This window comes from Homo sapiens, chromosome 3, assembly GCF_000001405.40.
Source record: "Homo sapiens chromosome 3, GRCh38.p14 Primary Assembly".
NCBI lineage: Eukaryota > Metazoa > Chordata > Mammalia > Primates > Hominidae > Homo > Homo sapiens.
In genome coordinates this window covers 139,671,612-139,689,525 of record NC_000003.12, presented here as the reverse complement: position 1 = coordinate 139,689,525, position 17,914 = coordinate 139,671,612, and the positions used below count along the sequence as shown (strand labels likewise).

Below are 17,914 nucleotides of genomic sequence, written 5' to 3'. Positions count from 1 at the left end.
CATCCTCCTTGACATTTCAAGGACACCCTGAGAAAAGGAGATTTCCTTTTTCCAGGGGCAGCCTCTCTCCTCTTATTCCAGCCCCTCCTCTTGGCTCAGCTGTCAATCCCCTTGAGAGATCTCAGCACCGACCTTTTGTGCCCTGCTTTTCTCTCTAAGCCACTTAATCCCTCTCAGGACAAGGACCTGTCTCCTGCATTCCCCATGGCAGCAACAACATGAGGCTGTTTTGTGAAACAGCCTTTGTCCTAAAATGTTGAGGACAATAAGGTGGAGGCTGCAGCACATGGCAAGAAAACACTGGGAACCAAAAATCCGGCTTCTGTCTCTGAAGTTGATTGGACGTGATGGGCCCAGGCAAGATTTGCCTGGCACATCGTTCCTAAGGAAGCAGGTTAGTTCTGGTGCTCAGAGTTTCCTGTTCTGCCGTGTGTGTGTGTGTGTGTGTGTGTGTGTGTGTGTGTGTGTGTGTGTTGTGTGTGTTGTGTGTATGTGTGTGTGTCTGTGTGTGAGTGCATGCATGCACATGAGCACATATGCACATTCCTGTTTATCTCTGCCATTGGAGTGTCCCTCTCTGTGTCCCTTCCTCTCCATCCCTCTCTGTCTTTATCTCTGCCAGCTCCCCTCTCTCTATATCCCTCACTTTCTCCGTTTGTGTAACTCTATTTTAGACAATCTCTTAGGCTTCCCAACATGTTCACATATTTTCTTTTCCAATTTCTAGGATCCCAACAATGGAACTTTCCTTCTCTGCTGTCAACAAAGGACTAAAAAACTTCTGTGTGATTTGATACAGACAATTTAGAAAACTTTTGTTTCAAAGTTTCCCATCCAGACTAGCCAAGGAGAGCAAGGGAGGGGAGCTAATAAGCCCATTAAGGTGTCTTCCCAAACAAATGTTTTCTTTGTCCTTCTGCCCAAATGCAGAAACAGCTGCAGCTTTAAAAAATAGCATACTTTTATCTTTTGAAGGAAATATGTGAAAGTTTTAGCACTGGTTGTCTTTGGTTGGCAAGAAATTGTTTAGTGTTATTTATTTCTTCCTATTTTTCTGAATTTTCCAAATTGTCCACAGCAAGCATGACTACTTTATCATAATAAAATCTCCAATGTATTATGCACCTGCTAGATCTCTGACTTAATCTTCACAATAGCCCTAATAGGGAGATATTAATATGCCCATTTAGAGGTTCAGAAAGGTTAGGCAATTTACTCAAGGTCACACAAGCAGAGGTGGAAATCAAACTAGACCTTAGGCCCTGAGCCACTAAATAATGCTGCTTGTGGAGATGCCCGTCCTCTACTTCATCTGCAGGTGCAGAGCCTTGCACATACATGAAAGCTCACAAGATCATCTGAATTTCCTCACCTGACTCCTCATTGTAAATGTAAGTGCTTCAGTACATTATGATTCAAAACATTAGCTTTCCCTGGGAGGGGATACTACTTTCTCACCCCACTGACATCAGACTTGGCCCTGTGACCTGTGTTGGCAGAGGGACTATACATGCTTAGCTTATTGAACCTAAAAGTGGTATATGACTTGCTTATAAAACATAGAGGAAAACGACATGTCACTTCTGCACAAAAGTGGTAGGAGCAAGCCATAGTTTTCCATGTCCCTTTCTTCCCTCTGCCATAAGGCAATGTCTCCAAGAAGATCAGTGTATAAATAGGGAGTGAGCAAAGTAACAGTTGGCCCATGATAGAAATGTGGCCTGGCAAGAAATAGACCTTCATTTTTCTAAGCCATTGAGATGTGGAGGTTGCTTGTTACCACAGTGTAACTTAACCTAAGGTGACTGACTCAATATATGTAAAAATTCAAATGTATAAGCAGTTACTAATACACTTCATACTTCCTCTTCTTGGAAGAAAAATAATAGGAAAGTGTTGACCAAGCATTCGTGTGAAATTTCACTTGTCCTTTCTGAAAATGATCTTGGGAAAATTATCTCCTCCTCTAGGGTGTATTTCAGCAGCATGCTCTGTTGATGGGGCAGGCTGTCAGAATCAGTCCCAGTCATGGGCTCTGGAGCTGCCCAAGGAAAGGCAGGCCAGTTAATGCATGGATCTAAGTCATTACAGGACCACATGGAAGGAAGCATTCAGCCTGCTCTTCTCCTCTCAAGGGCCACTGAGTTCTAACCAACCTCAGCCACAACTGGAGGCTTGAGGCTCAGGTGCCATCTGGGCAAAGCATGAAGCAATAAAGACTGACAGAAGGAATGCTTGGGGGGAATGCAGCCAATTACCACCTTTTGGTCTGAGATCCAGAGAGACACACAGCCTTCACAGACAATCTGGTCTTTCCGTGCCATTAGCAAAGCTGCCTTCAAGAGAAGAATGGCAACTTAACCAAAAAATTTCAGGATGAGACTAGAAGAGTAGCTATCATCACTAAGGAACATGCAAAAAAGAAAGCAGTGCTTTTGCCACTGAATGAAGCAGTCAAGTGATTTTTCAAGGAATCCCTGGGGGGTAGACATGATCATCTAGTCCCTAAATGACTCAACTGGTTGCTTTGTTGCTGAAGTGTCTTTATTCAATTTGTTCTTTTCTCATGATTCTTGCATTCTTTCATTCTTTCCTTCACTCATTCTATAATTCATCCATTCCCTCACTCGTCCAGCCAGTGAGTACCCTGAGCACAGCACTGGTCCAGACATCACAGCACACAGAGTGCAGGCAAGTGCACAGGGCAGGGCCCGGTGGGTGGAGGAAGGAGACAGAGCCAGGGTTCGCAGCTCAGTCTTTGTTACTAGGAACAAGAACTCAGTGATGAAGCCTTCATGTCTGGCTATTATTTTAGATTCTGGAATATGGACAAAACCTGTTCCTCACTATAGATATCACCCTAAACTGCCCCACTTTGTTAGAAAGTTTGGCACATAGCTGTGAAACCTGTGCAGGGGACCTAGGGCACCCCATGGGCTCCTGTCAACAACTACTGGTTGGTAGAAGGTATGGCTGACAGGGAGATGTACTGCTCAAATCTGCCTTCAGAAAGGACTTGCTTCCCAGGTGTGAGGAGTGCAGTTTTCTGACAGTCTTCAGCTGTTAGCTTCTCCAGGGTCTGCCTCAAGTTTTCAAGCCAAGGCCATTCTGTTCTTTGGCCAGCTAGTGACGAAGCGAAGGGAAGGCACAGAAGCCCGGCCATTTCTGCTCAACACAGGACTCCTCTCATGGGTCTGCATCATAGTCTGACATCTCTTCTGTCCAATCCTGCTTCTGCCCTTTTTCTTTTACAGGTGTTTGTCCTTGTAAACCCTTTGCACCTTTAACTCCATCTCAGCAGCTGCTTCCTGAAGAAACAAACAGGCACGGAACACAGGAGGAAAAGTGGGAAGAAGGAAAGAAGGAATGGGCTCCTCTCATGCCAGGAGCTCTGAAGTTTGAGAATGGGTAATGTTTCTTGCCAGCTCCTTCTCCGAAGGCAGATCAAAGTTACGGGATCTAACTTTGCCTAAGAAGTCCTGTCCTCTCTTTGTAAAGTTACCATCTGAGGCAGGACAGCACCAGTTAAGAGACACTAGGTTAGTAGGAAAGATCAGGATATGGCCCTGTGGCCCTACTAGACCAGCTGGGCAGACTGAATGTGGCCACACAATTCTGGCTGTGAGCATTAGAGACAAATATGAAAGGGCCAGTGAGACCATAGAGGACCATTGCAGATCAGGGCCTTGCTGAGGCAGTAAAGATCAACATGGTTTTGCCACAGGAACATAGAGTAGGGAAGGCTGTAAGGAGGAGCAGGTGATATTTGATGTGAGCTTTGATGGGCAAGCTCCCGGGGTACACAGTTACAAACCAGGACTCACAGCCTGCTCAGTACATGTGTATTTAGAAAGCTGAGCATGCATCAAGGTATCACGAAGACTTCTTTGGACATAGCAACAGAAACTGACTCTGGCTAATGTAAAAGAAAAGAAGATTTGCAGGAAGGCCACTGGGGAGCTGAAGAACCAGGCAGGGGAGCAGAGAGAAGCCTGGAAGCTCTGGTGCCCTGTGTGGCAGGAGCTCTTTTTCAACAATTCCACCAGGGCACCACTGTGAAAATGGATGAACACCACGATTTTTAGTGTCAGAGTTTATTTGTTCATGATTCAATTTCTAAGGAGAGATACAGTGTTCTCCCACTAGCTTGGCAGGGTCTGATGTTTTGATTAACAGTCCTGACAAGAAAGTATGCACAATCCAAGAGGTAAGAAGAGAACCAGGAGAATGTGAGGTCACAGAGATAAGGGAGGAGAGGTTTCTATGAAGGCAATAGCCAATATCATCCAATGTGACCAACAGGTCCAGTAAAATGAGGACAAATATTTACCTATAGGAATTAGCAATCAGAAAAAGTGGTTTCAGTGTGGAGGTAAAAACAGAAGCTAGATGCTCTGGGTTGAAGATTAAAGACGAGGGAAAGTGCGGGAAGACCATTCCTTTGAGAGAACTGAATAAGAAGAGAAGGCAAGAGATTTGTTGTTAGAGATGTCATTAGATAAAGGGAAGAGTCTTTGAGGATAGGGGAGACTTGGCCCTCGTATAAGCTAAGAGAAGAGAGCACAGAAGAGGAGAACGTAAAGATACAGAAGAGAATGGCAATAACAGACAAATCACAGAGGCCAGAGGAAGCGATTAGGGCCTAGGCAAGGACCTCCTTTGCACTCTGTCTTTGATGTAGTGTGCTCCTTGCAGTTCAGAATATATTATACCTCACACTTTCTTGCTCTCTTGTTGCTTGAGTATGATTTTAATCTCTATGATGATTAATTTTATGTGTCAACTTGACTGGGCTAAGGGATGCCCAGATAGCTGGTAAAACATTATTTCTGGGTGCATATGTGAGGGTGTTTCTGGAAAAGACTATCATTTGAATCAGTAGACTGAGTAAAGAAATCACCCTCGTGAATGTGGGTGAGTATCCTCTAATCTACTGAGGGCTGGAACAGACCAAAAATCCAGAGGAAGGGCAAATTATCTCTCTTCTTGAGCTGGGACATCCATCTTCTCCTGCCCTCAGACATCAGAGTTTCTGATTCTTGGACCTTTAGAAACTTACACTAGCATCTCTCCTGCCTGCCCCAGTTTTCAGGCCTTCAGCTTCAAACCTGAAGTTACACCATCAGCTGCCCTGGTTTTCAGGTCTTTGGACTCAGACTGAATTACACCATGGGCTTTCCTGGCTCTCCAGCTTGCAGATGGCAGATGTGGGATTTCTTAGCCTCCATAATTATGTGAGCTAATTCCCTTAATAAATGTCCTCGTCTATCTATCTATCTATCTATCATCTATCTATCTATCCATCCTATTGGTTCTGTTTCCCTGAAGAACCCAGACTAATATAACCTCAATTCAACCATAAGCTCCTTGAAGGCAGGAACCATGTCTTTGTAAGCAGAACAGGAATGGTGCTGCATAGGAGATTGAGAGACCAGAATCCTAGGACTAATTTGTATTATCAGACTGTGCTAGACTGAAAGTTACTGATAACTACAGTGGTGTGGCCAGATAGGTTTTTTAATTTTCTTATAAAATAAGAAGGCTGGAAGTAGGCAGTTCAGAGCTGGTACAGCAGCTCCACGGTGTATTTAACATGTCAGACTCCTATTCATTCATTCAGCCATCTTTAGTAGGTGGCTTTGGAGTTCACGCTTGGAGTTCACTTCTAAGATTCATAATGGCTCCTTGGCCTCTGGGCTTATACCCACATTCTAAGCCAAAAGGAAAAAGGAGGAGAGGGACAGAAAGCTTGCAAAGCAAAATCTTCCTACTAATCCCAGGTGGACTCCTGTTTGCTTCTTGTGGCCATCTCTAGCTGCACAGGAGTCTACCGCTCTAAACTGAATTGGGGCTTCATTGTACTCTAGCTTCTCTGCATCCCTGCCTTCCTCCTAACAGCATTCTTTGGGTTTCCGTTTGGGAAATTGCCCCTCTCCACTATGAGAGTCTTAGTAGGAGAGTAAATTCAGATGCTTTCCTTTCAACTTCTGCAGTTGAAGGAGTTTGCCAACACCTTTCCCAGGACAAATAGGAGAGTGTATACTAATGTTGGCCAATCTGAGGGCCTCTCCCAAGACTTTGGCTAGTGTGCAAGTGAAACAAGGGCATAGAAAGTGTCTAGAGTTTAATCATCTATCTCTGCAGCAGCTTCCTGACCAGACCATTTCTACTAAGAGATTATTCCCAGGGTTTTCACTTTCTAGCTTTTCAGAGCTACTTTCTCCCTATCCGTTTCTAAGCCTGGATCTCCAAACTTTCTGTAAGTTCTGAAGGCCCAATCCTGCCAATAAACTCCCATCTACTGGGTCACAGAGACTGTTTCAATTGCTTCTAACAAAAAAGTCCTGACTAATACTCCAAACCCACCACTGGTCAGGCGTGATCTCGAGAAAATCCTCTAACCTCTCTGGGTACTCTCTACTGATCACAAAAGGATGGGTTATTCCTAAAGGCTTTTCCATTATGACTTTGACCACCTCCAGAAGGCCCTCTTTGTACCAAGTAGGCCCAAATGGACATCAAAGCCTGGATTAGGGTTTTAGCAATAGGGGTAAAATATAAAAGCTCCATTAGGAACGGCAGCTGACAGCACTGGGATGCTGCTACTGGAGCACTCCTTGGGCAATTAACCCAGGTAAGCACCAACCAAAACCCACTCCACTGCTTTTGGCACCAGAGTGCAATGTTTTCATTAGCAAACAGGCACTATTTAGTGTCTTCTTGCCATAATTATAAAGGTCCACTTATAATTCTGTGCTTTCAACTGTTCTTGATTATAAGACTTCTTAATTGTGCCACCATAAAACATGTTTTCAGGGGGAATCTGTTTTCCACTTTAAATTCTCTCCTGCAGCAATGTATTTGCCTTACAAAACTTCAGAATAAAGGGTAGAGGCTTCTGTAAATTCATAGTCTGTACCTTCAAGGAAAAATTACTTTGTTAGAATAGCAAAGTGGCCCCAGTTTGGCCTTATTTTCTAGCAAAAACTCATTGCTTAGCTGCATTTAATAATCCATGGAACATTTCTATTAACTTCAGTGTGTGAATTGTGTGACTGCAGAATGGGTAAAAAAAAAGTGAGAATCAGGAATACAAAATATGCAGAAAATGAAAATAAGTGAGATGTTAAATATTTGATCAAGGCCTTTATTTTCAGGTAACCAGTTGCCATCTTGGGGTCTCAAATGCCAACAGAAGCCACAGAATACTATTCTGAATTATTAAAGTGACTAGGAGAACCTTGTTTCTTTTTACTACTTTTAAATGAGTATGTAGCCTCTCAAGCTAACCTTTGCTTAAACATTTAACATAGACATTGGGTGAAATATAAAAAAGCAAAAGTTCTCAGTCTAATACTCAACCTGTAATTATAAATCAGATTACATAATACAGCTCAGCCATTTCATTTTATTTTTCTGTGTTCTAACAATTTTTTTCAGTTTGAGAGGAACCTAACCAAGATTAGTTGAAAGTCTGCATTCTAGAATATTTTTATCTGTATGTGTACTGAATATATTTTTCATTTGCTCAATTCAATGCATTCATTCATTCAACAGATATTTATTGAATATCAGGTGCTAGGCACTGTTGTGGGTGTGAGGACATATCAGGGAACAAAATGTATAAAGATTCAGCCACTCTTGGGCCCTACACTTCTGCGAGGGAGACAGATAATGAGCAAAATATCCTCCAATGATAGGTAGTAAGTACTACAAAAGGGGTTGTATGGGAGTATTTTTGTTTGTTAAGTGGAGCTGTCTACTAGAAAGCTAATGAATTGGGAAAGTTATCCTAAGAGTGGGCGGTGTGTTATTTAGGTCAATGAGGACAGCAGCACCATGGTTCTAGGTGCAAATAGGCCCAGTGTGTCCAAGGAACAGCAACAGAGTCAAGGAAACCAGAGATGAGAATGGCTGACAGCTGGAGCACTTGTCAGGGCAGATCCTTGAGGGCCTTGCACACCAGGGGGAGGACTTGAGATTTTACCCTAATTGTGGTGGAAGCCACTGGAAACTTTTGAGCAGAGGAGTGTTATAAACTGATTCACGTTTTAAAAGGATAATTTTAGCTCAATAGTAAGTATAGCCATGAAGCCAAATTGACAAAGTGAAGGTTTTCTAGTGAGGACCTGCTTTGATGCTTGTATAAGAAAGATCTGGCATGAGCACTATCTGTTCACTGTTTGTAAGAAAACACCTGGCCGGGCACGGTGGCTCATGCCTGTAATCCCAGCACTTTAGGAGGCCAAGGCGGGTGGATCACCTGAGGTCAGGACCAGCCTGGCCAACATGGTGAAACCTTGTCTCTTCTAAAAATACAAACATTAGCTGGGCGTGGTGGCGAGCGCTTGTAATCCCAGCTACTTGGGAAGCTGAGGCAGGAAAATCACTTGAACCTGGGAGGCGGAGGTTGCACGCCACTGCCCTCCAGCCTGGGCTACAAAAGTGAAATTTCATCTCAAAGAAAAGAAAAGAAAATGCCCATCTGCTGAAGTAGTTGCAGTGACTGAAAAGTTTGCCCTCTTTGGTCATTTGAAAAGTCCACCAGTCTCCCTTTTACATTTTACTTTTACCCACTCAAAGCTTGCTTTTCCTCAGCGACAGGTCAGAAGTCAAGGTTAGAATAGGTTCATCCAAATACAGAGGCTGCCCCAGTCTACGGCCTCATCACAATCCATCCACAAGCAAGCTTTCCAGAATGGCCTCAGGTCCATCCCAGGACTGTGACTCTCAGCCATCTGCACATTGCTTACTGCCCAAAGAGTTCCTCCTGAAACTTCATCAGCACACTGTTAAGTGATAGAAGGAAACTGCAGAATAGTGTTATACTGTAGCCAGATCTCATTTTAGTAATGACATTTTTATGCCTAGAAATAATGTTTTAAATGTTCAAAAATATGAGCTAAGTGGTCAGTTCCAGCTTTTTTCCCTGTAGAGACCTGTCTCCTGCAGCCTTGGGTGGGATGATTCCAAGGCATGCTCTTCACACAGTTTTCTAGGGTTTTCCCCTAGGATTAAGCCCTAAACATCTATTATAGTAGCTGGCTTAATCTTTTATTGAGCTCCCCTTTTCTTCCCTGTATTGCTTCTTCATTACTCTGCTGGTGTTCCATGTACCTCTCAAATAACTACTTGCATTAATTCTTACCTCAGGATCTGGTTCTGAGGCACTCAAGCTGAGACATCCTCTATGTAAAATCTTCCTCCTTCCTGAGGTGGCATTAGGTGGCCACCTTCCTTGAGCCATAATGGCAGATAGGATCCAGGAGAAATGAAACTTACCAATAAAGGAGAGATCTGAAAATATTATTCCCATTATACCCATAATCCAGTAGTCTTTTTGTGAGCTTAAGCAAATACAAGACTTGCATTTAGGTATTCCTCCTTCTAAAAAATTAGGAGGTAGTTGCCTCTCCAAAATGGATTTCTCAGCCATTGCGTCTTCACCGCTTAGGTTAGGTAAAGCTTGGCTATTATATGAGGTTCTTACCTTCCAGCACAAGGGGACGCTACTTTTTTAAAAAAATATTTTTATTTCCATAGGTTATTAGGGAACTGGTGGTATTTGGTTACATGAGTAAGTTCCTTAGAGGAGATTTGTAAGATTTTGGTATACCCATCACCCGAGCAGTATACACTGAACCCAATTTGTAGTCTTTTATCTCTCACTCCCTTCCCATTCTTCCCCTCTGAGTCCCCAAAGTCCACTGTGTCATTCTTATGTCTTTGCATCCTCATAGCATAGCTCCCACTTATGAGAATATACCATGTTTGGTTTTCCATTCCCGAGTTACTTCACTTAGAATAACACTCTCCAATCTCATCCAGTTGCTGTGAATGCCATTAATTCATTCCTTTTTTCTTGCCTAGGAAACCAGGCTTCCTCCTAGACCAAGCTTTAGTCTTCACTACCTCAGGCAGAGAAAGCTTCCCTTGCATGAGGAAGTCATTGCCCAGCCTCTTCTCTGCTCTCTGTGTGCAGCTTCTCCCTCCCTGGCCTAGGGCCCTGACCCAGAATGACTCTTCAGCCCACGATTTTAATCGAAGGCCTCTAATCAACCTGTGGTACTACATGCTACACAAGATTCTCAGAAATCCCTAAGCTTTCTCATGAGCCTCCCACCCTGCTGGGAAATAAGCTGACTTATCAATTAAAGAATATCCAAAGATGTTAAGCCACTTAATCCTCCCCAAAACTCAGTGCGGTAGGGGTTGTTACCTCCCATTATACGAAAGGAAAGTGAGGCTTGGGAAGTAAAGAGACTTGTCCAAGATCACCTTCTGGAGCCACATTTTACACCACAGGTAAGAGAAAAGGGATCCGAGAGGGCACGGACACTGTGTCTTCAGACTGAGTGGGGAAGTACCATTTACCTGGGTACTTATTGGGTGCAAGTTGCATGCCCCCGGTGCTAATACACAAGGGACAAATTTATGGGCCTCCTAAAACTGTGGACAGTGCACCCGTCCAGCCAACTTCATGGGTGCACCGTGAGGCTCTGGTGATGTGGACAGGCTTATAAAACACTCTCCATACTAAGATGAGGTTGTGTTCCTGTGTCTAGGAAACGCTGGAAATTAAGTGTACAGCAATCAAAAAACCTTGACATCATCCTTGATGTCTCTCTTTTTCGCACACTCCAATTCACTCCATTAGGAAACTGTATTGGCAGAATCTAGTGAATCTTGTCCTTCAAGGCCTCTCTCTGCAAGGCTCCCATGAGCCCTGGGGGCTTATGGAGAGTTCTGGGTGGGCAGAGGAAGCCAGACTGCGTTAGGGAAGCAAATTTGGGACCTAAATTTCCTAAGAAGGTTTTAGGGGATAGGGACCCCAATCTCTAAGACCCCAGGATTCTGTTAAGATTTATTTTCTCATTCCAAATAAATGTTCACTGGCAAGCCCTAATTCTGTCTTCTCTTTCTTAAGCAGCCCTCCCTTCCTTCTCCCCACACAACTGTGTATGCTTCAGGCCCCAGAAATCCTTCCCTGCTTTGAGGTCTGGCGTTTACCAGGGCAGGGCTTGAGAATAGAGGTGTAAATTTGTCAGAAGGAAACAGGGGCCGCGCAGTAAGAGAGTAGATCCTCATATAACATGGCAGAAAGTCAATGGATAAATCAAGAAATCGCTATGTAAGTTTCTTTTTTTATTTTTTTATTTTATTTATTTATTTTTTTTTTGCGACAAGCGGGTGACCACTAGAAGAAATTAACGGAGGAATTGTTAAAAAGAGCTGTGATGGGAGGGAGAAGTGGCCTGTTGCTTTCATTATAAGCAAATCTAGATAATTTTATTTTCTAATAAGTAAGTGGGCGTTACTTTCATGTATTTTTTTAAAAGAAAATTAAATAAAAATACAAAACAAACAGAATACAAAACAGGAGAATAAAAAAGCAAACACGCACGCAACACAAAAGAGCCTTGGCGGTTGGGAGCCAGCGGGCGGGGGCGGGGGCAGGGGAGAGGGCGGGGCTTAGGACCCTGGGCGGGGCCAGGGCCGGGTCTCCTTAGGGCCCGCCCCAGCGAAGGGGCGGGGCGCAGATCTGTTTCCCTCAGACTCCATCTGCCCGGGGCCGCTAAGGGAGCGCAAGGTCAAGTTCGCCTTGGCCCCGCCTCCAGCTCAGGTACTAGGGGATCTAGACCTGAGGCTGCCCGGGCCGGAGGCAGCCTTGAGTCCCGAGACCAAACGTCGTTTCCCTCTCGGACCTCGGGCGCCGGGCCGCGCGCTGACCGACAGCCCCTGCTAGGCCCAGCAGGTCCCCTAGTCCCCCGCAGTCCCCCGAGACTCGCCGAGCGCCGTTGCTGAGCCCTGCAAATAGCAGGTAAGCGCAGCGTGGGCCCCTCGTCAGCCCACTAGGACCTGGATCGCGGCTGAATGCCCGGGCCCACGTGACTCCTGGCCCCTAACTGAGTCCTGGGAGTCCCCGCTGGGGCGACAGGTGGCGGCGGAGTGCGGAGCCATCCGGGGTGGCGCGAACCGGGGGGACAGCTCCGCGCTGCCTCTGCGCGCCGGCGGTTCTCGCTGCAGCGTGTCAACCTAACCCCCAGCTCCCCTTTGGCTATGACCAGAGTCCCGGAGACGTGGGTTCGGATCCCACCTTTAGCACTCGTGCACTCAAAGGTTAAAAATATAAGCACAGTGTCTAACAAATACTTAACGTGTTCCACTCAGTGTCCGCTGCTGGGCTAAGTGCTGGGGTTACAGTAGCAGGCCAAAAAATGTGGTGCCCTCCCCCGTGCAGCTCACAGTCCAGTGGGGGGAGACCGACAGCAAATGGATATCTATGCAAACAAGTGTGAACGTTAAAACTGTGGTCAGAGCTATGAAGATTGAAATTCTAGGGTGCTGGAGAGATTTTATCAGGGCCCCCAGCTACAAAGGCTGCTGGAACTAAAACTTTAGAGAATTCCCGGGCGGGGAACAACAGAGCAAACTCATTTTGTTGGGAGAGAATGTGGCTTGAGGAAAGGAGGGTTGGTGGGGCTGGCCTGCAGAGAGCTGGGGGGAAAGCAAGTTCCTTAACCTTAACGTTCTCCTCTGTAAAATGGGATTGTTCTACCCATTGAGAATGGAAATGGTGAATGTAAATGACTTAGCACTGCGTGATGGGTGCTGGATGTTACTCTGCACTAAACATCCAAGGCTTGATGTTGTTCTGGACTAAACACAGTGTGCCTGCCTCTCAGCAAAGTCACTTCCCCTCTCCTTGAGTCCTGTTTCTTCCTCTATCAAATAAGTGGTTCTGAGTAGAATCTCTCAAACAGCCTGTTCTCTAAAATGATGACTGGTTTAGTTGTTCATTCTTGAAACATTTAACTGGCGCCCACTTTACCCTGGCTCTGAGGATTCAGAGAGAAATCAGACAGGGGCCCTGCCCTCCTGGAGCCCATGTCCGGTGGGCCAGGTGAAATAAAGTGACAGTTCCACCCTGGCACAACCCAGAGAAAGGGTTCTTACCCACTGGCCTTGCAGGGGAAAGCTTCTCTGTTTTTCTCAGAAAGCCACCCAGGAGCCCCTGAAGGTATGGTTCACACAGCTCCACTGAGCATCAGTTACTTCTTGAATTTCATTGGTGGTTCTCAGCTTTTGGTGTCACCTCTTAAAACTGGACAGAAGACTTCCCAGAAGCAGCAACTATGCTGGGACCTTGCTAAGGACGTGTCAGACCTTGAGACCCCATGGATTTGGGAGAGCATTTTAGGTTTCAGGAAACATCTGTCAGCTGCTCACTGTATTTTATTGGCTCAAATGATCCCAATTTCTTATTTGGCTCTGTTCACAACATTGTTGTAGACAAAGAAAGTGCTCCATGAAAACCAACTGAGAGGCCCAGAGAGTAGGGGAACCCAGATGAGGCAGGAGTCTGGCACCATTTGTGGGGAGTGGTAAAAAAGAACAGGTATGATGTTAACAGAGGGTGTTGGAGGGAAGAGGAGAGAGAGCAGCCATTGTGCAGCCTCTCTTTTCCCCTCTCAGACCACTGCAGGATGCCAGCCCATGAGAAGGGAAGCTCCAGGCTTGGTGGTCACAGACCTGGCACTTCTCAGCTCTGTGACTGACCCTGGGCAGCTCACTCACCTTGTGAGTCGTGAGGATTGCTCAGGCTTAACAGGTGCTTAGCATATCGTTGGCCCTGAAGAAATATTAACTCCCACCCTCTCCTTCTCCTGAATGAACTAAAATATACATAGTTGTAGTGTCTACCTCAGAAGGTTATTATGGGGATTTAATGAGGACCTAAAATACATAGAGCAGTACCTGACATGTGGGAGGATACTACTACTATAACTATTGATATCGTTCCTTAGTCTGGACAAAAATTGATGAAACAAGACAGGGCAGAGGCGGGAGAGGGATAGGAGTGGAGGCAGTATGAGGAATTGTGCAGGGTGATTAGTCAGGGGGTTAGATTATCTGTTGCAGTGGTTTTGCCATAAAGCAAGAGCCTGGCAGCAGAGAGGGGTGTTCTGCATGATAAAGGGCCTCCTGGGCAGCTGCACTGTCAGAAAGCCCCAGAAAGCCCCAGTGTCTTTGTAGACTCAGGCCAAAGAAAGCGTAGCAAAAGTTGGAGAAAACTAGGGTTGAAAAGGGTCTAAAATGGTCTTTTTGATGATGTGTCTCTAACTGATGGCTGAGTGGGGGTTCCCTGCAGGGGGCTGCCACTGCACCTTGCAGACCCTTGCCATCCCTTTGAGCATGGTAACTGCCTGAGACCGTTCTGGCTCTTTGACCTGGGAGCTATGGAGTCTAATTTTGCAAACTTCTCACCCAGCAGAGTACCAGGCCAAAAAGGCATGAATCAGTAATGAACAAATAAATGAACATAAACCCAAGAGGCAGATTTTTCATGGTATATGTGCACGTGTGTGTGTGTGTGTGTGTGTGTGTGTATGTTTAAAAGGAATACGAAGGTAAGGAAAGATGACTAATGTATTTAAGCATTTGCTGAGGGCCAAATATTTTCATGTATGTCGCAGCTTAGTGGTGAACACCATAGTCTTGTAGTCAGATAAAATTGCTCGTGTGACTTTCCCATGTATCACCAAAGTGCTCTAAACCTGTTTTTGCATCTGTAAAATGAGAATCACTGTAGCTAATTCATAGGGCTGTTAGGAGCATTAAGCAAGATAAGCATATGAAGCACTGACCTCAGTATACAACATGCAGTATGGTAAGTGCCCGGTCAATAATGGCTGCCTTATTATTATATTTATTAATCTTCCCAATGATCTCCACAGTGGTAAGGAAACTGAAGGCCCTAGGCACAGAAGGGTGGCATGGATTCTGAACTGAGTCCCATCTGGAAGCAAAGGCACTCTGCAGACACTAACCAGACAGCTTGTGTGAAATGAAATCAACTTTATGTGCATTTCATTCGTTACTTAAAGCACTTGACTAAGTGAAATTTTAAAAAGAAAAAAACCTGCAAAATTATAATTTGTGTGCCTTTCAAGTTCAGGTATTTTATCATCTCGATAAATCTTCCATACATCTATGTTAAACCACTTTGAGCTGTCAAAGCTCTTAAATAAAGTGGCTCGTCCTCACCAGTGTCTGTCTTTGCTCGTTTATCATGGTTCCCCAGTAAAGATGGACAGATCCCATTTTGCGGGGCAGGCCTCAGGATGGCAGCTCCTGCCCCATTGGTTTAGCTGTGCAGTTCTGCATGATGGTATTTAACAAACCACAGTGGACTCATGATTCCTTCATCATTGTGTCTCCCACATACACATAGACCCATGTGCCACTCTAGGAATTAGGAATAGAAAGGCAATCTATTGCTAGAGAGAATCTGAGAAATCAGCTCCAGGGAAATCTAAGATTCTCTGTAATAGGTTTTGGGTGGAAGTGCCTGGGATGAGGGTGACCATGCATCTGGAAGTCAGCACTGTCTGCTCTTTCCACCCAGAAGTGCTGTGTCTGGGCTGCCTTCCTGCCCAGTGAAATCCTGGTCTTCATCCCTGTGCCTCTCTGCTGTCCCTGCCTCTGGCCAGAGCTGCCCCTAAATCCAGAATCCCTGGGGCAGCGGCAGAGGCACACTCTGTTGCAGGGAAGCCTTCCTGAATCCCTCCTCAGCCTTCCCATAGTACCAGCGGGTGCCTGTCGGCATGCCCTTCTCTGGCCACGCTGAATTACCTCCTCTGCTTGGCTGTGAGCACTTCCACAGCTTTGGACCAAGTGTTCCCTGTACTTAGCACCATGCCTGGCACGTTGTTTCTCTCTCTCTCTCTCTATTCCTTCCTCCCTTTCTTTCTTCTACACATACTTCAGGCAGTGTCCTGGGGATTCAAACAGTGAGTCAAAATGACATAGTCCTGACCCTCATGGAGTCTGCACACATCATGAGACAGATTTAACAATAGAATTAAGCACATACACACATAGCAACACATTTTAAACTGGCTTAACTCTCCTGAAGGAGGAGGCTGGTGTCAGGGCCGCATGTGGAAGGGAGAAAGATAGAGAAATATAGTCAGTATCACTATAGACAGAGGGGCCAAAAGTGTTGGAGGGAGGCTTATGTTCCTTTTTTCATATACACCCTTGAAGACCGCTGGATGATATTTTTCTATAAATCCTGGTAAGCAGTGGTGTATGCTGCCAAGGTCATCCTATTGAGAATGTACACTTTTAAAAACAACTGTGCTTCAGCTTCCAAATGGGAGAATAATGCTGTGATCCAATTCACTTACCCCTTTATAGTTTCCAGAGCTCCTCCTCGGATGTTGTCTGGTTGGGTGCTCCAGTTCTCAGCGTCATACATCTCATCTTGGGTAGCAGCAGCAAACAGGGATCCAGCTCACCTGAGGGTAAATCTAGTGGCGTGGGCACTGGAGCCTTTTCCCTTCTGAGTGACAGAGTCCACCTGAGAGCCTATTTGTTTCCTCCTTCTCTGATACTCCTGGGCACACCAGGCTGAGTCTCCAGCATAGATTTTATCATGTTGTGGCTAGTGGTCTGCTGTCTGAGAGGAAAGAAGGGCACTGCTGACTGCTGTTGTCCGGAAAGCTGGGCCCACCAATCTGTGTGCAGCTGTGGCAGGGTGAGCTGGCAGTGATCCTACCCATGCAGAGCCATGCCATGCCAGCACAGTCCTTCGTGAGGAACCAGCAGTTCTCCAGAGGGGCACCATGCCTGCCTTCGAAACCCATTCATTTCCACTGAGAACAGGGAGAAAGTCACACTAAAGACCTGTTCAAAATAAGATGTGATCCAAACAGCCTCAGGAAACATTCTCTGTCCATACTTGAATATTATTAGAGAGTTACTTTGGCCAGAGCTGTTGACAAAATACATCTCCAATCCCTACCAGTCTCAGATGTAGACCTTATCACCAGAGATGAGCTGCCGTCTTCTCTGCAGCAAAGGAAGGATGCATCACTGCACAGAGATTGAAAAGGCCCCCATGCTACTCTTAGTCGGGTGAGTTTGCCTGCCTTGCACAGACTGGTGGGGAAGGGCTATATTCTCAAGGTACAGCTATAATAGGATTGTAATTGTGTGGCTCTTAGCCATGGAGAAAAGAAGTGGTTCTGGAAATCTCCCTTTCATAAAGGCTGACACGCTGACAGTATTTATGCCTCTTGAAAGTACATGTTAAGTGGTGGATATTTATGAAAAGGGTTTTGAGGAGTAAATGTGTCCATCAGTCAACCTGGAACTTTTTAGAGCTCCTAAGATGGTTTTAAATTAGAGCCAATCTTCTTCCTGCCTTCCCCCTTCCATCAGTACGCCCCCCTTTCTTTGCTTTCTCTTATAAAAATGAAGTGTCAAGGCAGGACAGAGCCCGGGGATGAGGTTGGAACTGCCTTACAGAAGCAGAGTTAGCATATTAAAGGCAGGTGTGTAGGGGTTAGAGCCTTGATTCTGGTCCTTCCCCCTTGTCACAGTGTTCTGGAAAGAGGAGAGTACGGAGCAAGGCTGACAAGCATGGCTCAGCCTAATTGCATCCTAACCACTGCCATCAGCAGCCCTGATATCAGCCAGGCTGCTCGCTGAAAGGTTTACAACCATAAAGGAAAAGAATGATGAAAACATGTGATGCAAACCAACCCGAATTTGGGCTCAATAAGTGGCAGGTGGAAGTGAATGAGTGTCAGTGTCAATGAGGGAATCACACCAGGTCAGGTCAAGAGAAACCTTTAGAAGGCTGGAAGTTTCTCTGTGAGCCAGTGATCATTAGAACAGAATGCCTGTTACATGAATTAGTGTGTAGGAGTCTAACTTGGAATTATTACTCACTTTCAAATCTTCATTTTAAAGATCAGTAATAGGTTTATTGCACAAACCTTATACTTAGTAACAAAGACTGCTTTGCTTTTAATTTCCCCATCTGGCCTTCTTCTATGTAACTTATATGGTGCCGTTGATCATTCTTGTCTTAATGTTTGTGTGTGTGTGTGTGTGAGAGAGA

The 17,914-nt window shown here is 45.3% G+C and overlaps 1 protein-coding gene across 23 annotated transcripts in view, besides 1 other annotated feature; it reads left to right on the top strand.

Moving 5' to 3' along the window:
• Positions 11,451–11,500: a silencer, noted in NCBI's record as "silent region_14769". NCBI's record gives its function as "represses an Ori minimal core promoter by ATAC-STARR-seq in GM12878 lymphoblastoid cells {active_cell/tissue: GM12878}" and the evidence as "EXISTENCE:reporter gene assay evidence [ECO:0000049][PMID:35858748]".
• NMNAT3 (nicotinamide nucleotide adenylyltransferase 3) overlaps positions 11,476–17,914 on the top strand; it is a 117,871-nt gene continuing 111,432 nt past the window's right edge. For 22 of the 23 annotated variants that reach the window (NR_174944.1, NM_001401604.1, NM_001401603.1 and 19 more), the window contains exon 1: positions 11,554–11,821. The gene's annotated coding sequence lies outside the window, so the exon portion shown is untranslated. 23 annotated transcript variants of the gene reach the window in all.